Raw genomic sequence first — 22,140 nt, forward strand, 5'->3', positions numbered from 1 at the left:
CATTACTGGGTATATACCCAAAGGATTATAAATCATGCTGCTATAAAGACACATGCACACATATGTTTATTACAGCACTCTTCACAATAGCAAAGACTTGGAACCAACCCAAATGTCCATCAGTGATAGATTGGATTAAGAAAATGTGGCACATATACACTGTGGAATACTATGCAGCCATAAAAAAGGGTGAGTTAATGTCCTTTGCAGGGACATGGATGAAGCTGGAAACCATCATTCTCAGCAAACTATCACAAGGACAGAAAACCAAACACTGCATGTTCTCACTCATAGGTGGGAACTGAGCAATGAGATCACTTGGACACAGGGTGGGGAACGTCACACCTGTCGGGGGGGTGGGGGCTGGGGGAGGGATAGCATTAGGAGAAATACTTAATGTAAATGATGAGCTGATGGGTGCAGCAAACCAACATGGCACATATATACCTACCTATCAAACCTGCACGTTGTGCACATGTACCCTTAACTTAAAGTATAATAATAAAAGAAAGAAAGAAAGAAAGAAAGAAAGAAAGAAAGAAAGAAAGAAAGAAAGAAAGAAAGAAAGAAAGAAAGAAAAGAGCATTTATTTCACGAACAGGGAACTCCAGTTCAAATCTTGGCTCTGCTCTGATGAGCTGTGTCACTCTCTTTGCACTGCAATCCTATCATCTGTATAATAAGAATAGGAATTGAACACATAGCAAAAGTTGTTTTAGGAATAAAGTTAGAAAATAAATTCAGTCAACAAGCTCTACACAAACATCCTTAATTACAAAGGGATGCTTTCCATAGACATAAACTTGAAGGCATTTGTTAATTGTTGCCCTCAGTATTTAGTTTCAGTTTGTCTGTGTGTTTGTGTGTGTTTTGTAGTGTCCTTGCATGTATATGTTTGTGTGTGTTTGCCGGTTTTGTTGTGTGTTTACATGTATGTTTGAGTGTATGTGTGTCTGCTTGTGTATCTGCTATGTGTTTTGTAGTGTGCTGTGTGTGTCTGCTTATGTGTTTTGTAGTGTGCTTGCCTGTGTGTTTGCCTGTGTGTCTGTCTGTGTTTGCTTGTGTGGTTTGTAGTGTGCTTGTGTATGTGTGTGCATTTGCACATTTGCATGTGTTTGTGAGTGTGTCTGCTTATGTGTTTTGTAGTGTGCTTCCATGTATGTTTGTGTGTTTGTGTGTCTGCTGGTGTTTGCTTGTGTTTTGTAATGTGCTTGTGTGTATATGTGTGTGTGTTTGAGTGTTTGCATGTGTGTCTGCTTGTGTGGTAGTGTGCTTGTGTGTGTGTTTGCGTGTTTACATGTGTGTTTGCATGTATGTCTGCTTGTGTTTGGTAGTGTGCTTGTGTGTGTGTTTGTGTGTGCATTTGTGTGTGTGTTTGTTTTATCATTGCTTTCTCTTTCAAGCTTCCGTCTGATGCTTTAGCCTGAAGTGCAAGGCTGACCTGATATGGATCCAGGGAGAAAGAATAAAATTTCATGTGAAAAACTTAATTCATCCTGAGAGGCAGATGGGAGGCATTTCCGCCAGGGATTAGTTAATTTTAAGTATGAAAACACAACTTTAATTCAAGCAAAGAGGTAGATTTATTACGGCCCATACCGGAGAAATCTGAGAAAGATTGGCTCTCTCTCTTTGTGCATATCTTAGAAACAGTTTTTCTCAGGTTAGGTTCACCCTCAGGTGGGTTGCAGTTGCTGCAAGCTATATGGTCCCAGGTTAGGTCCCAAAGAAATGGAAGAGACCTGTCCTGCTGTGGCCTTCTGTCCTGCTGCGGCCTTCCGGCCAACCTCAGACTAGGTCTCCCCGACCCAGGGGAGTGTAGAACCCAGCCAGGCAAACCAGTACCGGCATCCATGAGTGAGGTTGTCTGATTGGCCAGCCAGGAAGATCTGACTGGCCAGCCCAAGAGGAGGGATAATCTGATTGGCCAGCCTATGGGAAGTAAGGTGGGGTCATGGGCTTCAGGGCTCACCTAGAATCATAGGGCTGTAAAAAAACCACCCAAGGTCCGCTATCTGGGGCCATCTGACTTGCATTACTCCACTGAGCACATAAGTCTCTCCATATGCGGTAAAGAACCAGGTGGACACCTGAAATTTTCAGCCCCATGATTTGTCATTTTGTATATTTTCATGCGAAGACAGGGAAGATGTATATAGCCACAGATACTCGTGGAAAAACTCCAGGTCGGGTTGAGCTTAACAAAACTGGGAGACAGAAGTTATGGTGACCTCTGATCAGATGCAGATGATGTTGTTTGGACATAACTGTTCTGCAGCAATAGGCATCTCTCCTGGGGCCTCTGCCTCTCATCCCTGCTGTTCAGGCATGGCCAAAGCCCAGGTCCCCTGTAGCCTCTGGGGACTCAGGTGACCTGGCCCTCACTCCCCACAGTCACCTGAAGACTCTGTTTAGCTCTCTTGCCAGTACTGCCACAAGTCCTATATGGTAGGTAGAGATTTGATTGGAGAGAAGCCTACCAAAGTCAGACGTGGGTGTGCCAGTCCTCTTTATGGCCAAGGCGTGTACTTAAAGGGTGATGTTGGGGGTCCTGGTGCATCCTCTGACCCAGGGATTGTCCCTTTCTTGAAATGAGAGCAGGGACAGCCAGCTTCTGCTGAGGCTGCCTGTCGGATGATCCTGGCCCCTTGGTCTCTCTCTTTTATTCTTGTCCTGTGCGATCACTTACCTCCGGTATAGGTAACGCAGCCTGCATTTGATGGAAGTCCTTCTAACTAGTAAGCGTCTCCTAGGCTGAAAGGACAACTGAAAATCCTGTGTATTTTTGCTTCTTTATTTTAAAAAAATTCAGTTTTGAAACTGTGATCCACCAAAAATAAAATATGTACTTAAATTTTTACACTAAGAAATGTATCTGTTCATCATGACCAATAAATATCTTATGTGGCTAAGCAATGTTTGACTTTCACCTAAAATTTGTCATCCGAAATATGGACATCTAAAGCCCGTTTGAAGCAAGATTGAACTTGAAGACATACCTCATTTTTATATTTTGTAAGCAGGAAAAAAGCTAGTCACATCTAGGTCTTATCTATAAGTATCTATTAAGGTCAAGAGGTGGAAGCTGCTCTAAAAATGATGCCGCCGAAGATACTTTCTAGTCTCCCAAACCATTTTCTTGGCAAAAATATAGCAGCTGCATTGGGGTATCCTGGAAGCAAAGAGACCCACATCTCAGCGAGGGGTTAAGGTAAAGTCAGCCCCTGGGTATAAGAGAGGCTGCTAAGAGATGTAGCCCGAGACAGCTGAGTGGTCGCCTGTGGTCAAGCGGCATCTTGTAATTCTATTAGGGTGTTAGATTCAAATGCAGAATTAGCTGTTGCCTACGCAGAATTATGTTAAACACGGGCCAGACTGAAAATCAATATTCTGCTTAAGTAACTGGCCCTCCAGTAATTTAATGAAGCTAAATTGCATTACACAGCGGCAAGGTGGAGGGGCCACTCTATCTCAACCCTTCCATTACACAGGGGCTGTGCAGCACTGTGCCTAAAGAGAAATTAAACACATACTCATTTTTTTTCCTGAAGTTGGAACTGTGCTTTTTACACCAGATTACTTGTCTGCTTCTTTAATTTAAAATCAGAGTAAATAATTTGCAGTTCCATAATCAAAAAAGAACTAGAGACTCATAACAAGAAAGAAAGATAGCTGGAGGAATATTGGAAAATAATGCTTTTCTTAAATCCATAAGAAAAGAACTTGGGGGTGGTGAGTGGGAAAGGGGTGAGCCTTCAGTTGTAACCTATATATTAAAATGTAATTGTAAAGGCTTCAAATTGACACCGTAATTAATCAAGGCCACAATTTCATTAAGGACCACAAAGCCAATGTGGAGAAAATTTTCTTTGAAACTTACATATAAATATGTATAAAATAAGAAATTTTTAAAGCATTATTGTTTTGGTCATCATGCATTTCACAGGTTGCTTTGCAATTGCTTTTCTTCCTTCCTTTGGTTGCGGTATATGTGTGTGAGGTATAAGTGTGCATGTGTGTGTGCTTGTGAGTGCCATATGACAACTACAAGTTTGCTAAGCTCAGAACCCTTCAACATAACACCTGAAATGGGCATCTTCTCATTTAAGGTTTCACTACAAGAACTTCAAGCTCTCCACACAGTCAGAATGCACTCATTATGAGATTTGAACCACAGAAGTTTGCACTAAAGATGATTGACAATAGAAAAGAGGTGTCGTTGCATCGTTTCAAAGTTATTGGCAACTCATTTATTTATTATTCAGCTGCAAACTTCGTCTATATGAAACACCTCACAGACTTATGTCCAAAACTCCAAATTAAAATGACAATAATTGAATGTTGCTTAGGATGGGATAATATAAAAAACAGAAATTTTTCCTTTATAGATGCCAATTTGGATATTCTGGGATCCAATAAGACGTATGAACTATGTGAGCCACTATCTCTGAGAATTTCACGTTTGGAATCTGTATATATATGAAGTTAATTGGCATTTATCACCGGCTCTCCTGGCTCTTCCCATTATTCTTAATCTCTTGGTCTGGAAAGGACACAAGATATCAACAAAGAGTGACAATGAAAATGATTCTTGACCACAAAACCTTGAGTTCCGAATCTTTAAACAGCTTTCCACCGCGGACTGAAGCAGAGTCAAGTTCATCTGAAATGTCTTCTGAAACGCTGTGACTGCTATAGATGAAAGGTTATTTATGTTCTCAATTTAGACATGGTTACATCTTCATTCCTTAGTTAAATATCTTCATCATAGAAAAATAGTGAATCTGACAGTGAACAGTAATGGTAACTTAGGTAGGTCTCGTTCATGAGCTGAAAAATCCAGTTTGAAACCAATATTTACTCACTGCTGAGAATAGGAAGGTCTGGGCAGCAGTGGGAAGAAACTTTTTTTCAAACTTCTTAGTTCTGCTGCAAAAATATATTCTGTTTTATATTCTAGGATGATGACATGGGCACCAAACATACTTATGGCCAAGATCAGATGTTCAGAGTCTGTCACCATTACAACATTTTATAGAAAAGCAACAAGTTCCACAAATCCCATTATAGAAGACGAACACTTTTAACTGGCAACATAACAAATAACACTTTCACCTTTATTTTTAAGCATTCTCAGAAGTGTCTTAATTCTTCAAGTGACCATCTTCACAGCTCAGAATTTAAGGTGTGTTTCTGTGTTACACCATTTTTAAGTGACAAAGAACATGGTAGCTAAAATAATGAAGTTTAGAATATTATCTCAAAGGGGTTTAGCAGTGAAGTGGTTAATGATGTTAACATATAAATGGCAATAATTACACTAGCCTAGTATGGAAAAATGGGAATATTTGGTGAGACTGAATATTGTTTCTCTTTATTCTGCTTGTAATCGTAAGGATGATGGTGCATTCTTAATGCCTTTTTCATAAGCAGAAGAGATGGAAGCAATTTAGTGGAAACAAAAAGCAGGAAGAAAAGAGAAAACGTTTGCCAAATTCTTAACTTCTGTGGGGCTCTCACGTGGGAACTTTTGCAACTCTATTTGATAATAACAGCTGACCATTAGAATAACTTAGCAAGTGATACATTCTGAAATACAAGCATGTATACCAAATCCTGAAAGAAAAACAAATGATTCACATACGTTTAAAAAAAAACAGTCTGATGCCACAACTAACAAAAAGGTCATAAGTTCAACAACAAATGTAATTTTCAAGTATCTGCTATTTTTGATAGGTAAGAAGAAAAGTAAAAGAAATTCTCCACACTGAACGTGAGGCTCGCCTTTTCCCAGGCTTGGGTGGGGGCGGTGGGTGGGGTAATGAATCAGGCAGATTCTTTTGGAAAGCAATGCTTCCAAACTTCCTCAACAGAAATTCTACTTTTTTGAAATCTACCCCAAAGAAACAGTCATAAATATGAAGTACGCTGCTCACACAGAGAGGCTCCCTCCAGGGGTGTATCTAAGAGCAAAACCACCAAAATATCCAATCAGCTTAATAAATTATGTTCAGTGCATTTGCCATAGTACTTGCCATTTACAAAGGATGTTTTTACACAAAATAGGGAAGAGCTGTGACTGGACATTAGGTGAAAAGGCACACAAAAGCCTATGTACAGAATAGTATCAATAATTCAACGTCCAGGTTAAAAAAAAAGGCTCATTTACCAAAATATTAACAAAAGGAGGTGAGTTTATGGCCGATTATAATGTTTCTGATAATTTTTTACATTTTTAAAAAGTTCTGTCATGGCCATGTACTAGTCTTGTAATGTTATTTTGGAAGCCATTTTTAATGTAGCCGGGCAGGAAGAGCCCTGTCGACAGTGATGTTGCTAAGCTGCCAGCAAACACTCTCCGTTTTCTTTCATGAACAGGACGAACATCAGGGGCTGTTGGACTGGAAAGGGCTGCCTTCATTTAACTCTCCCCGCCCCTGGTGAGAAAACCGAGATACAAGGTGGAGCCAGGCCTCCGTGTTCACAGCCGTCACTTTGGTGCAAGCCTGGCTGGCCTCTGCAACTTTGCCCAGTCTGGTGAGGAAAAGGAGCAAGCTCCCGCTGGCTGCACCTGGGCCCTGTGCTTTGGCCCTGTCATCAAATACCAGCGCGAGAGACCGTGAAGCTTGGGCTTCCTTGTCCCCAAACCCCGCCGCCTCTCAGGAGCATACGCGTCCCTACGGTCTCCCAGGAGAGAGTCTCATTTGTACTATCACCCAAACTTCTGCATTCCTCTGGATTTGTAAACTTTAGAGAGTATGAACAGCTGTAGCTTTTCAGCAAAAATGAACTCAGCCTCCAGTATGAGACAAACAGAGGTTACCAAGCTTAGACCTGCCTGCCAGCAGCTCCCAGCCTGTGGGTACAGAGAGAGTGCAACAAATAGTCTTCCACCTCCGACCTCTCCCTGCCTTCCCACCTGAGCAGTGGAGGGTGAGTTCAGGTGAGTCTGGCCAGGTGTGGGCCACAGGGACTCTTCCTCCTGTCATGTAGCAGAAAAAGCACTTGCTTTAAACAACAGAAGACATGAGTTTGCGAGAGCATTCTATCGTTTATGAATTCCGTGCCCGTGAAAAAGTCACAGGAACCTCAATTTTCATAGTGAGTAAGATGAAGTTTGGAGAGAAAGGCGCCTCCTGGGTAGGGGAATGCTTTGAGAAAAGGAGAGGAGAGCCAGGAGGTGGTGGTGGCAGACCCCCACGCCAGACCCCTCAGGTCTTTGTTGGGGGTTTCAGCCTTCAGGAAAAACGGCTGCATTTTTACATATAGAACTTGGGGCTCGGTTTTACAATTTATGTCAGTGAGTTCATGTACTATCACATTTCACATTCTATCAAATTTCATAGAGTTAACAAAAAATGTTTTTGGACATCTGGATGTTATGTTGTAAAGTGTGTGGGTCACAGGCTTGTTATAACCTGGGGGCGGGGAGGGGTCACACCTCCTCCTCCTCCCCGCCCCCTCCCCCCTCTAGGGTACAGGCCTGCAGCCTCTTGGGAATTCATGCACAGAAACTGCTTTGAAAAGTATAAAGTGCTCCACAAATTTGAGGGTGTGTGGATTCCCATAGTCCAACAATGAAACAATATATACCCAGGCCACTCTTTTATCAAAGAGAATGCCTTACTCGTCCTAAAGTGACAAGCCCTTAAAACATACATATATACTAACACATGTATGTTGTCCATTTGGTATTATGGTAAATGATCATCTCCCAGGATTTCTCATTAAAACCCTAGGCTAAAAGAAAGATGTTTTTCACAAAGATCTTGCAGGGCTGATGAGTTTATCTCATTCCTCCTGGCTGCATTTGCATCCACTGTTTCTGCAACATTCACTCCTTTAGTATGTATCTTTCTGCATGCGCCTTCCTGCCTGTCCCTGCTCGGATTTCTCACTGAGGGTGGCTGTCAGGGCCTAACACTGGGACCGCCTTGAGCCAGCCCAGCTGGACGAATTAATGTCTCTCCAGTAACTCAAACCAGCAATGACTTCATCTCAAAAATTTCTGAGTAGCACAGGTCACAGTGTGAGTGTGGACAAAAGTAATGGGGTTCCCAGAGAAGTTAAATGGCGGTGGGGAGGTGTAAGCCAAAAACTACAACTGGGATGAGAATTGGGGGGGGCACATCTGAAAAAATAAAATTTCCAGCAGATCTTCTTGGAACAGTGTAAGCTTTTTGGTACAATGAGATTTTTGTCCTAGTACAGCTGAGCACACTGACAAAGCAGCAGAATTGCAGTGATACGCGCCTACATTGTAAATAATAGAGTAATATTATGCTACACAGTAATACTGTGTAATATAGTCACATACACTTCACAGACGCATAAAGAAGGAAACAAAACAAAGATTAAAATAAAAGACAAATAAAATAAGTATATATAGCTGTTCCTTAAATGAACTAAACCAAGGGCATTCTAAATATTTATATGTTAAATAAAATCCATTTTCTAAATAGAAAAGAAACTGATAATCTTACCTTGTTGTTAACAGCAAAATAGGTGTGTGTGTGTGTGTGTGTGTGTGTGTGTGTGTGTGTGTTTTCATATTTCAGTTTGTTTCTGCCGACATGGCTTTTAAGGAAATATACTGATGCAGAAAATGAAAGAAGAATTTCAAGGCGTATATGAAAGGACCTGTCCTGAAGCTATTAAATTTTGTGCATAATATTTCGTTCAAGGTGATCGAAGGCGATGGTTGTGGACTCCACCAAAGGCAGGTGGGAAGCAGGCAGCAGAGGCCCCAGGGAGGGCCTGCCGGGCAGCCAGGGGCTTTGCTTTTGTTTTTTGTTTTCTTACCGTTCCTGATGAAAGTTGAAGATCATCCGCAATCACTTCCCATTCACAGCTAAGGAAAGAAATAACTTTGTAATGACTAACAAACTATATGGCAAGATCAGGAAAATGTAAGAATCCCACAGAGCCATGGCTGCTGTGGTGATCACGCTGTGTTTTTTTGGGGTGCAGAATCCTTGCCTTTGGACCTGGGAGACACTCCTCCCACGCTCCTCATTCTGGCCTCACCAGCTCCGTGAGACTCTTCCGTCTTCCCGGTTCCTCCTCACTTTATCCCTCTGTTGTTTCAACAAGGAAATGGGTCTCATTATAATCTTTCATCTCATTCTTCTCCTTGTCATGATGATGAGATAAAGTACAGAAGTCAAGAAGTGCCTTCCAGAAAAAAAAGGATTAGACTCCTTCCTTCATTTCAGGGTTTTTCTATAATGAAAGATACAGTTAAGCCTGTTAGTTCTATCATGACAAAACAAACATGAAATTTGGAAAAGTTTGATTCAGTTTTTCTGTTTGTAAATTCTTTTGAGTAGGTTGGCTGCTATGTTTGGTTTGGACTTCAATGGACAAGGAAAAGGGAAATAATTCCAATTTTATTTAGCAGATTTAAAAATTAAAGTATAGATACTTGCATGTACTAAAAACAGAAAAAGTTATATTTTGAGAAAATGGATTTTGTTATAAATCAGCTATCCAGAAAAACTAAGAATACCATGGCTTTTAAACCATTACAGAGCTGAGGGATTTACCCACTGAGGTATTATTTTAAAGGGAAAACAAAAACTCAAGTGCAATGGTTTAGGTCAATAAACACTGCACTTTTCCAGGCAAGGCTTGTGAAGAACTTCCTGTAGCTTTCCACAGCGCGAAGGGGACGTGCAAGTTCACATCTGCACACCTAAATGTGAGCCTCCTATGAACGATGCTCTCAGAAAGAGTCCCCCGGCTGGCAGAACAAAGGCCAGGTCCAGGGGTTACTTACAAGGCTCCAGTGATGGTCATCCTAGAGCCAGAAACCGTCTGCTGGAGAAGCCCAGGTAGTTCCAACCATCATCTCACCTTGCAAAGCCACCAGATGCCACAGCGGGCCCCTGGCCGTGCAAGCTTCTAGAGAAGCTGGAAGGACCTGGAGGAGCGGAGGCAGGGCTGTCCTTGGCTCTGCTCGGATCTGCCAGGGAAGGCTTCCTCGGGTGAGGAAGAGGCACGGGGACCTTGGAGAGGCCAGGGGCTACTTGTGGACACTTCATTTTTCTAGTCTGCCAGGTCCTAGAAAGTAGAGCTGGCCAGCCAGGACACTCTCTCCTGCAAAGCCCACCCAGGGGTCGCCAGGACCCACTGGATGGCCATGCAGTCATGGCTGAGCCACATGGCCAGACTGACCAGCCAGGGGCTGGCAAAAGGCCATCAGAACATGAGTGCAAACATCAGGTACATTTTCAGAACACAAAACTTTATCCTATCTTTAATCAACACCACAGTAAAAAAATATTTATTCTTTAACAGCCCACCCTCTTTGTTCCAGCTACAAGTCAGGAGCAGACGCCTGACCCTTGGGGAAATCTCCTGGGTGGGACCCCTCTCTGAGGGCTGGGCTCCCTCCCCCACTAGGGCCCTCCAGAGACTGCCAGCCCCAGGCCTGCGCCAGCCTCCAACCCCCGCCCCCTCCCTCTTCAAGCCCTACTTCTCTGCCGGATCTACTTGCTGCAGGAGGCAGACATCCCATGGTGGGAATACCCGCAGGCCAGTGTGTGCAGCGACGTAGTGCTCAATACTTGGATGGCTCACCTTCCTGCCACGGAGGTTTAGGGCCAGGGGAAGCAGCTCAGCCTCAGTGCCTGGGCTTCCCAGAAGCACCCCGCTCGGACATCCAGCCCAATGCGCCTGCTGCTGGCCTCGGGGACAGGCTGTTGAGGACAGGCTGCCAGGCCTGAGCAAGCCTACGGCACCAGCAGGCTCAGCACAGGGCTGGGAGTGGGTGGGATGGGAAGTGAGTCTTCAGAGAGGGAGAGGGAAGGAACTAGAAACAACCACTTAACATCTATGTGGAGCCTGGGAGCATTTGTGGAAGTCATCCCCCTTACTGTTGAAAAGATGCAAATTTGGTGAAATAATCAGCTGTATGGCTCCAGGCTGTTTCCCAAGTACCCTGATTCCTAACAGGAGCGAAGGTATTAGTGTAAGACACCAGCAAGGCCAAGTTCACGTTGCTCAGAGGTAGCCCCTAACCAAACTCCGCCAAGTGCTGCAAAAGAAGATTTGTTATCTCAGGAAGGCAGTTCATCCAATAAAGCCAAAAAAATAAAAAATTAAAAATTAAAAAAAAAGAAGAAGAAAACAAACCAGAGTCCTTAAGGCTGGTTAAAGGGGAGCAAAACAGCCGAGCCCACCGGCACTCGGCACAAAGGGGGCCACTGGTTGTGTTCCCACAGTACCCGCTTCCTTGGCAAAGTGGCTCACATCACTGCAGAATGAAAGGCAATTAAGGCAAAGATATTTTTCCAGCATTGTTTTAAGTTCCACATCAAATATTCTTTCAGACATTCAAGAATCCACTTATCTCCAAATGAAGGGCAGAAGCTAAGCTAGTGATTTTTTGCATAGGATCTGCTCTTTATGGAAAGCATGTGAACGACGCCAGTAGATTCTGCGACATCGCGACTTCCATTAGAAAAGCGCCCAGTGAATCACTTCATACAAAGAGAGAATCCTTTCTGGTTCCTCAGGCTTCCCTGACCTCTTACCCCCGTTCCAGTTGGCAAAAGTTCGGGGACAAATTAACAAAATGGTTAAGCATGGCAGTAGATTTCATGCAGAAAATTATTCTTCGTGCCTGCTCCATAGCAAGGTCTTTTAAGTGATGCGGTTACAATGGACCTAAAACGCCACAGCCTGTAAACTAAATATTTCATCAATTTGCTGAGTATAAATTATATCTTAAAACTCCAGCCCTCTAGGATCAGGACATAAAGTGGCCGTTCAGTCAAGTGCTTTGAGCACTGCGATGCAAGATGTCTATAAAATACTTTACTAGGTTTTCATGTACAGTGAATTTGAAATAAGTGTAATGGAAAAACAAAAAAAAATGTATAGAAATTACAAGCTGCTATTTGATTCCTTTGTAAATTCTCTGGTCATGCCGGCTTTTTGTTGCCTTTTCCTTCTTTCTGAACAACTGAAGAAGACAGAACTTAGAATTATGAAAGATGGTTTTTAGGTCACCACCACATGAAGTAGTTGATTGGGCTTATAACTTGGTAAGAAATTGAACTTGAATTAGGCTCTCGTGTGTGTGTGTGTGTGTGTGTGTGTGCGCACGCGCGTGTTTCATAAGCTCTTAGGATACAGCTATATTTATGCATTGTGTATTTAGTTTTCCTTCATTTTCCCCTCAGAGGATGGAGAGGGTGCTGTAATTTTCAAAATACTGTGAAAAACATTTCTACAAATTGCTTTGCTTGTCTGCCTATATACGTTAAGCAGCACAAAATAAGCGAGGGGACCCTTCATCGCAAAACCTTTTTTTTTTTTTTTTTTTTTTTGCATTTTCTGTAACAACATAAAATCTGCTGTTATGACAAGAAGTCTGTAGTTCACTCCTTCATTTATAATTTAACCACAGCCTATATAACATAATCCAAAAAATATGGGGCATGATTAGTGTAAAAATCAAACACAGTAGAGGCTTTTTGAATACTCCAAGAACAAAACAAAACCAAAAAAAGGAGAGGGGAAGAAAACATTGCAGCCATCTGAATATATGTGGTATTTCTTTAATACTTCATTTTAAACTACCTAATTGTGTTTTTAAGCTTCGGTTTCTGTAATTTTGCAAGACGAGGCATTCCAGTGAGGAAACATATGGTGAGGGATTTTTAAACCACACAGCGAGAGTGCATCATAGACTTATCTGCTGTTTTAATGTCACAAAAATCCACCACTGAATTTATCCAGTCACCCATTAAAGAAAGAAAAGAATTAAAGGAAAAGGAGGTTTTAAATCCCCTAATGCTACAAGAATGAGTGAAATATGCTATCAAGTTCAAGTGAGAATGGTGCTGGAGCTTCAGGACTTCTTATAAGACCAGCAAACAGCAATTAGCAACCTGAAGGCTGGAGAGTTATTTCAGGAGCACTGCAGACAGCCAGTGTCTCAAAGCGGCCAGCCGATTCTAACCTAGCACCTCTCATCACTTAGCTTCCTAGATGCTCCTGTTCAGAATGGTCAGTTTTAACTTTGTTTCTCAATAGGTCAGTAGGCAAAAAGATATATAAAAATATCTCTATCAATTGATCCATTAATTGATAAAGAAAGGAAGGAGAGACGGATGGATAAATAGATACACGGACATTTGCTTTTAGTTTTTAAGTCCTGTTGTAATGGTCACTTAAGAATAGTTGCCTCTATATGAAAGGGCAGCTGTCTTAGGATGGTCTTTTTTAGGAGAGCTACTGAATCAGCAATTTGCGCAGGTGTTGCGGTGGCAACAGAAAGCTCTGATGGTAGCAAACTTCAACATTCGGACCTAAGTAAGATCTAGAAAGGGATTCCAGACACACCAGAGTGTCTTTACAAATACCTACGCAGCTCCACACACAAGGGGTGTGTGGGGGAGTGCATGCGTGTGTATGTGGTATTTCCAAGGGTCCTCCGGGCTCACACGCATGCAGGGAGATGGGGGTGGGGACAGAAGCATCCAGACATGAAGCAATGTATATCATTATTCAAATTATGTCAGATTCATCCTTAAATTACACTGGTGTTTCTTATCAGAAATTGTTTCATATACTATAATATGCTGCAATAAGTGGACATTAATTAATGCTAAATTACAATGGAATTACATATTATATCCACATGAATACTGAATGACTCTATTATGAATAATATTATTACAGTAAATATTCAAGGACCTGTAAGTAGTTTGTCGCTAATTACAAAGTGCTGACAACTACACATGACCTTAAGTTAATGTAAACTTTTAAATATAACAGCCACACAGCAAATCTTTGATTAATGCTGCAACAAAAATATAGCCGGAGACGTGATGAGCAGAGTCGAAACGCAGTCCACCACTCCTTCTGGAAGTCTGATTTATCTGCAAGACAGAAGCGTCTCTTGGCTTAGAATTCCATGCAAGCTCTATTCTCTCAGCACAGACGTGTGTGGCTCTCTGTTCAGCTAATGTTTTTAAAAATCCACGCACAACTTCGCCAGAGTCTCTGGTTGTGGTGGGTGGTCATTTTGTCTTAGAAGGGAAAATCCTTAACCCTTTGCCACTTTCTACTTAAAAGATGTCAAAATGCTCTGGTGGCATTCTTTTTTTTTTTTTTCTTTTTGCACAGTGAAACGGAGTGAGAACAGTATAAGGTGTTAATCTTGATAATTAGGGCACAAAAGCAATTAGAGGTCTAAAAACCTTAAGGCGCCGAAAGTGATTTTTTGTTTATTTGCTTACCTTATTAAGTTAAATATCTGTCTGAATTAATCGCTAATGAATGTAAAGAAGGCTCAATAGCAGCGGTTTAATGAACAGCCGTGTCAGTTGCATTTTACAGGGTCCCAAATCATCGAAGATTGCAAGCCAACTTGCTATTCAAAATTACTTTTCTGCCCAATTTTCTGTTTGCAAAGCAGTAAATTATTTACATTTATTGTGCTTATTTAAGCACTTAAATGACTATGAATGGAGTACAGGCACATTTTAAAAATATAGAACCATTACACAACTCTACTGCTAGAAATTCCCGTTATTTTCCCCTGAAGACTGCTTCCTCTACTTTTCTAATCTCTCTTTTACAACAATTCATGAAAAAGGGCATTATTACATTGAACATGTTTTAATAAGTTATTTATTATTTAACATACTTTAAGAGGCAGTGCCATAGAAGTTACATTACACACACTAAGAACGGTCTCTTTCAGACCTGCCCAGTTGCCTGAACCTAAGTGCTTAAGTTTCCTGAATAAAATTATTCTGTCTTTCATTAGAAACAAATAAACGGTGCTTTTCACCATTACTCACATCATAAACATTGATATTTGAAGAGATCTATTATACTAATTATTGTCTTTGGAAATTATCATTTAATATATTTACTTTCTTTAATGGTTATTCTTTTGAAATCAGTGACCACGATTTTTTTTTATATGTGCAGCTGCTCCCACGCACAGGTCCACAGCCTTAAGTTGCACTTACATGCAGGGAGACCCAGCCTGCGGGAACAGTTCCCGATGTGCTCTCTGCACATCCACAAAGCGCCCCAGCTACGTCGCTGGGCAGCCAGTTGACCACGGCCAAACCCGTAGATGGTCCAGATCATCAAACTGAGGTTAAGAACGCATAATGAAAAACACAAGAAGGGAGAATGGATAGATAGACTCATGGTAGCAGGAAAAGGAAGAAAAGAAAAAAGGAAGGAAAAGAAAGTAAGACCCTTGGCAAGAGAAACAGAATTCTAGGTGATCCTGCTAGCTAGATCGGGGTCAGATTCAAGTCGTTCTTTTCAAATCTTTCAGATGACTGCAGTGGAAACTTTCTTGTGTTTGCGAACGCAGACAGACACTCGACACCCAGTTTCTCCATGGACGGCATGCATTTACATGCATAATACGGCGGATGTGCCCGCTCTGACTGCAGCTCATTTCCTAAGTCGCAAGAAACGCTGGTATTTTTCAAAAGTGATTTCAAAGAATTTGTGTATGTGCATGTGTGTGCGCACGCGAGCGTGTATGAAAGCAGCCATATTTATTATTCAGACTTAACTATTTGCGTGTATTTTCCCAAATGATACCAGGGGCAGCGTAACATCTACTGTTAAAAAGCCCCATGCTATTCATAAGAGATTATACTGGAGTAAACATTACAGTAGCAGTAATGATCTAATTAAAAGAATCAGACATACTTAAAAGAGTCCCTTCTTTCAGGAAGGAGGGGAGAAGAAAAATCAATGAGGCAATCCATAGTCCGGAATGGGGCGAAGCATTTTACTGTGATCAAACACAGTCTATCTAGTACATATCTGAAGTCCTCTGGTCTTTGTTACTTAATGTGATGCGGAAGATCAGAGATGCGTGCAGTCTGTGTTCCAGGGTTCCAGCTGAGTCGCTGTCATATGTTAAGCTTTTTTTTGTTTTAAGTTGGCTATAATTCTACCTTACTCCAAGTGAACAGTGTTTCCATTAAACTAAGCATTTCCCCAAATCTGGCAAGAACCTTGCATGGGGATTTTCCTGAAGCAACCTAAAGGTGACCCTAGAGCACACCTACGAATCTGGGTTTGCACGGCACTGAGCTCCGTGCCGGCTCCCGTATCTCTACCCTCAAGAAACACAGGTATTGTGTGTGCGTGTGAGATGCAGGGTGACAGAAAAAAAGGGAGTGCAAGCCCTATATCACCAATTGTCTACATGAGTGCCAACACATATGTCGGCTTATGTTTGGAAGACATTATTTTTTCCCAGCTGCTTTCTTTTGTACCTACCTCCCAGCACTTGAAGTGGGGCCTGCAAACCGGGTTTGAAATGTGGTCAGACGGAAATGCAGTAGCCAGGACAGAATGGGAAACTCAGGAAGGAGGCTGAGGTGGGAGTCTCCGGTGTGGCCGGGAAGCCATCCCCCCAGGAGGCCACGGGGGGGAGCTGTGGCTCTGCTCAGGGCGGCCACAGCCAGTAGCGGGGAGGAGAGGGCGGAAAATATACTGTAGCAAAGCGATGGTGGAAGAGGAAAGGTAGGTTTTATAAGTTCCTGAATTTTATGACTATGCTGCAACGGTGGAATGTCCACTCAATCTGTTGCGAAGTTAGCACAGAAAACATGCACTGGGCATATTAAGTACAGGATGAAATGGTGCAGTGAATATTTATTAGCAAAAATATAGGTTCTCAAAAACAGAAATAAAACAGGGTAATAGATGAAGGGAAGAATAGATTTAACACTGAAATAAATATCAAAGGTGCAAAGAAAAGGCAAAATATAGTGTTCAAACAAAGCTGTGAATTGGGTCCAGATTTAATGCTCCCCTAGGGAAGAAAAGGTTGGACAGACTGCTGGAATTGAGATACTACTTTTAGTACACAGTCCCTGTAATGCTGTCAGCTTTATTTCCTTTGACAAATGTGAAATAAAATTTGTCAAAGTTAGGGCTTGGAAAGTTGGCTATTGAAAATTCAATTGGTAATAACTAGTATAGCCTAGCACTCCGGAGATTTTTAAAGGAGAGGGATGTTTAAGATGCTGGGGTGCGGGGGGAACCGTATTACATATTGTATTTCACTTTTTAAAAATTTAGCAGTTGACTTAGGCAGCTGGATTTCTAAGTTTCCTGTTAGCTGGGTTCACCGTTAAAAGGCGGTAATTTAAAACCCATTTCCATGATAACTACAATGATATAGTAAGTTTGAAAATATTCTGGTGTCTACACAGAGGAGGGCTCCTATGATCTCACTCAGCTTGGGGTCCACACGCCACGAAGACTTTGCTTGATCCAGTTCTATAGAAGTGCAGGGCGTGATTGCGAAGTCAATGCTACCCTCATTCCACGCTACAGAATTCCTGACTCTGCTTCTCCTTCCACCATGCATTGGACGCGTTTGCAGTGCAAACGGTGATTTACTGGGAATGTTTAATAACAGACTTTTCTTGTCTTCTCAATGTGCTGCTCCACAGCCCCAGCCTTTCCCTTGCTGGGTGCATGGCAGGTTTTCCAGGGAAGCTCTTGGAAGCCACTTCTCTCCCGTGCTGCCCTGCCGGTCCCACCCCCGCCCCACCCCTCACCTCTGCTGTACTTGGGAACAAAGCCACGTATAAGAAAAAAAAGAGCGACTTAGCCTGCATATGGATATCCAGGGATATGTCTGTTTTCCTGACTGCCCCAATACACTCTCAGTGTAATCAGGAAGACAAAACAGTCTCGCCACATTTTCTGCTTCTTTCTGTGGAACGGAATCTGATGTCTCCCAGCTGCATTCATGTCCCTTCAAAGTGGGCAACTTGGCATTTACTCCCGCTCTCTAAAGAGTCACCGAGGGCATTGGAAATTTCGGCTGCGAACCCGGAGAGCGGCTGGCTCTGCTGCGGCCGGGCTGCCGTCGCTCCACTCCAGCTGCCGTTTCTTTATTTAAGAAGAACTACAGAAAAGACCTTTAGGAATCACCTCTTAAGTCATTATGGCATAAGGCACCTTTCTGTCTTTATGACATGGTGGGGGGGGGGGGTACGATATTTAATTGAAGATTTTATTTTTAATTTTCGCATTCTTACCATGTGGTCATTACTTTATTTTTACATTTTCAGCCCATTTTCTTTCCAGCCCATCGCAGGAATTGGGCAGTCAGCAAGAGCCAGAGAGTGCTGGCATGTATCATTACATTCTCAAGATGGCATATTTACTGCGCTTGCCAGCAGGGTCGCGCTTCTGTCCTAGTAAATGTAGTGGAGTATGAAAAAGGCAATTACATCTCACTGGGTGACCTTTTAACAGCCATGACTACCTCCTATCTATACATAATTATTATAGGTGATGATTTCCAAGTATTACAATCTCCTAGAGCCGCCTTTAATTCACATCACATTTAGGCACGTTTGTCACCAGTGCTAGAAATTTTAACCCCCGAAAACTGAAAAAACAGAAGAGAAAAGTGATAGCAATGGATGTCAAGCTCTCAAGTCATCCTAATAAAAACACAGCAAATAAGATGTCGCCCTGTTTGTATTCATTATCAGTTCTTACATGCTCCGACTCTTGCATTAAACATTAGACAGCCTCTGATGCCTGCTTAACAGTTTAATTCCCTCCTCAGTATTCAGGCTGTCATAATAAAATCAGTGAAGCAGGCAAAGTCAAATAAGAGCAAGAGGAGGCATAGAGCATGTAGCACAAGCCATTGTCATCGCTTACTATTCACCCCGCACCACTTACAGGAGCTGAATTCAGCATATGCTGTGGGTGACACACAAACCAATCTCTCCCTCCACCGCTGTGGCCAGCCTATCTTGCCGGTGCAGGGCGAGGGTGGCGCGCGTGCAGAGGGCCGATAGCAGTCCCTTCAAAAGGAACCGGCTTCTGAGCCACTGGAGCTGGCACAATAGAAGCCACTTCTGTCAACAAAGACTGCAGACTAAAGAGCTAGATATCCCCACTATGGAAAGATTAACAGCGCTAAATCCGTTTAGGCCCTTTTTTTTACTTATTTACAGGCTGCTGATCTTGAAGGCTGAATCAGAACAAGAGATTAGCTCTATTAAGTGCTGCCCATTTTTCTGAATTATGTTTTTGAAGACTTGGACAATATGAATAAGGACTCATATTAACCACTGTACGAAAGGCGCACACTCCATTGCAATGACAAAGCCTTCGGAAAACTACTTGTCACTTGCAGTGATCCATTGCAAATACAGTTTAATATATAATTTATATCTACCAGCTGGTGAGAGCAGAAAGGGAGCGATTCCACTCTATTTCTCTTTTAAAAGAGAGAGAGAAAGAAAGAGAGAGAGAGAGAGAGAGAAAGGCTGGCAATGTAGGATGTCACTAACGATAGTAAAATAGCTCAGCAAACAGTTCAATAAATGGTTCAATACTTGTGATACTATCCAAACAAAGACTCGAAGCCATTAATTTTAAAAAGTTCTGTGAATCTTCTTTGAACAGTAAATATTTAATCACGGCAATATGTAAGCTGCCCTCTCATATTTTATCTCCTAACCAGAACCGTGTAGTGAACCTGGCCTTTAATAACTTTGACCAGAGCGATATTTTGCCATTTTTCTCCTGCCATCAAATTATGAAGTGTGTCCAATCCAGCATGTTGCTATTTGCTACCTAATGCGCTCCTATTGATGCCTAAATATAGCGCTGGACAAATGAGCTCCGTAGGTGTGAACACTAAATAATGCCCAAACCCCACTTAAAAATACATATATACATGTGTGTATTAAATATATCAAATGATACATTTAAAATTCTAACTATATTTAATAACTACACTACATGTTTTTTAAGTACTATATAATTATATTATATAGTATTAAAGAAATTAAAGCTTCCGGGCATAGACTTTCAGAGCCAAGCAGTAAGAACGTGGAAATTTGCGCCTCAAAGCTTTCTAGCCAGCGTCTTTTTTTTTCCAGGCACACTCACTAGTTAGGAATGTCATCTTCGGCCAAGTTTAATAATTGATGAGGAGCCTCGCAGGTCTCAAAAGCTTATACAACCAAACAACTAATATTTATTTATTTTATTATATATTTTCTTTTAATTCAGGAAATACCCACAGCGATTACAATTCTAATTTGCAGGGAATCCTGTTGGCAGAAAAATCAAACAATTAACAATCCACCTTCTAAACAGACTACTGGTAACGGACGACTTCAGAGGCAGCCAGTCAGACACGAGCGATTGCGCTCCCCCCGCGCCTGGGCTGCCTTGGAGTTCAGATGAAAACAAGTTCAGGAAGTTGATTTGATGGGCAGCACCGACCAAACCACGACTTATGAGGCTTGCAGATGCATGTCAGAATTAGGCTGCTATGAAATACGGCGTGATCTGTTCCACCTTCTGTAAGTTTCTCAGAAGTGAGGACTCTACTCTCAGAAACAGCGTCCTCCCTGCCACAGCCATCAATGTGCATGTGGTCGACACACGCATTCACACACACTCACGGCTCATTAAAATGCGTTGTGAACTTGGCGTAATCCCCAGGATGTTTCTTCATTAGCTATTTTGGATGGCCTCTACCGCACACACATTTCAAGAGCCACGTTCCTTTAATTCTCAAATCAATACACTCTTAGCAATTGCAAGTGGCCAGAAAGGTCACCCTCGAACCCCTTCGGTCCTAGAAGAGTGGCAGAGGAGGGATAGGAAAGGACCCGTGCAAGATCACACAGCGAGAAGATGAAAGCAGTTCATCCTCAGACCTCTCTCTGCTCCATCAAAAGATAAAGAGACATTTGCTAAATGTCATTAGTAGTTCCTATATGTAAGTGGAAGAGCAAAGACAAATAAGACACAGTTATTATTTTTCAAGAGCTCATAGTCTAAGAGTGAGACTCAACCTTAAAAATAGGCTACAACCCAAGACATCAAATTTCAAGTGGGCCAGAAAAGGCACAGGGGTGGAGCGGGCAGAGCTAACTCCAGCCAAGGGGCTGGAGTACTGAGTACTGAGTACAAGGTCACTCTCCGTGGATACGTTGTAGATTGAGTGGAAGACACATGCAGACCTGGCTATTGTCAAGGAGAACCTGCCTTCCACATAGGTAGAGGAATGGACCACCAACCTCGGATGGAAATTCTGGTAGCCTTTTCCCATAAATACAGCATCCTTCTCTCTCTCTTGGCCTCTTCCTATGAACCACCTGATGAAAAAGGCAGTGATGTCAAGCAACTTCTGAGCTCACAAGAGAGATGCAAGGCCGGTGGCATCTGTGTAACAAATAAGCCTGTGTCCCAAGTCCCTCCCAGATCATCATCTTTCACAGTAGCTTCCAAAAAGAAACATGTTGCTATCCCATTGGAAAGGGCAAATGAGGTCCCAAGCCACTTACCCAAGGAGAATAAAAGGTGGAGTGGGCAAACCACCCAACCCAAGCACAGAGCTCTTTCCACTAATCCCCATGGGCACACCCTTGAGAAACTCTAGCCAGACTTGCTGTACTCGCCAAGTCACGCCCCAGCCCCTACAGTGTGCAGGGCTCTGCGGAAGGAAACACGTAAGAGTCCTGCACTCATAAGCTTGTGGTTTGCTTGGGAGACGTGTGAGCCTAAAGTTAACTATCTCTATTATATTTATTTTACATGTAGATAATATTTATATGCATGGAATATTTTCTTACATTATGTATGTGTGTATATACACAAGTGTGTGTGTGTGTGTGTGTGTATATATATATATATATATAGAAAGAGAGAGGTAGGGATGGAATAGGCATGGATGTGGAACGTGTGTATGGCAGTAGTGGTGGGAAGTAGGAGCAGGTCAGGACGCTCAGGGCACACGGATCTGACCACACATGGATCACCCAGCAGTGACACAGATACTCAGGTGATCAAACCGGTCTGGCAGAGTAGTGATGAGGTAAATGAAACCAGGAAAAGAAACCACAGAGCAAGAAGAAGGGGCAGCATCACACCTCACCTTTTCTGGGATGCAACCCCACTTCTGCTCAGGGTCCTCTCTCAGACCCACCTGCCCCAGCACTTCCAGCCCTCAGCAACATTTCTGTTTCCCTGAACTCTTGTAACACTTGGCGTTGCTTCCACAGAACTCAGCTCTGTCTTGCACGTTGTCTTCCCAGAAGTAAACACATATGTGGGCATCTCATGTCTGGGTCTCCTCTTTCT

At 42.4% G+C, this 22,140-nt stretch overlaps 1 long non-coding RNA gene across 1 annotated transcript, besides 2 other annotated features; it reads right to left on the minus strand.

The window, feature by feature from the left end:
* Nucleotides 6,590-7,089: an enhancer, noted in NCBI's record as "H3K4me1 hESC enhancer chr10:130820155-130820654 (GRCh37/hg19 assembly coordinates)". NCBI's record gives its function as "activates a minimal SCP1, AML or CMV promoter by ChIP-STARR-seq in naive H9 embryonic stem cells {active_cell/tissue: H9 hESC(naive)}" and the evidence as "EXISTENCE:reporter gene assay evidence [ECO:0000049][PMID:30033119]".
* Nucleotides 17,892-19,610: an enhancer, noted in NCBI's record as "VISTA enhancer hs699". NCBI's record gives its function as "enhancer in: midbrain (mesencephalon)[6/11] | forebrain[6/11]" and the evidence as "EXISTENCE:transgenic organism evidence [ECO:0001131][PMID:17130149]".
* Nucleotides 20,018-21,452, minus strand: LOC124902559 (uncharacterized). Its single transcript, XR_007062390.1, has 2 exons — nucleotides 21,345-21,452; nucleotides 20,018-21,155 (listed from the first exon to the last, which is right to left on the minus strand). It is a non-coding gene; the product is annotated as an uncharacterized LOC124902559 (long non-coding RNA).
* Nucleotides 21,453-22,140: the final 688 nt, after the last annotated feature.

This window comes from Homo sapiens, chromosome 10 (genome assembly GCF_000001405.40).
Source record: "Homo sapiens chromosome 10, GRCh38.p14 Primary Assembly".
Lineage (NCBI taxonomy): Eukaryota > Metazoa > Chordata > Mammalia > Primates > Hominidae > Homo > Homo sapiens.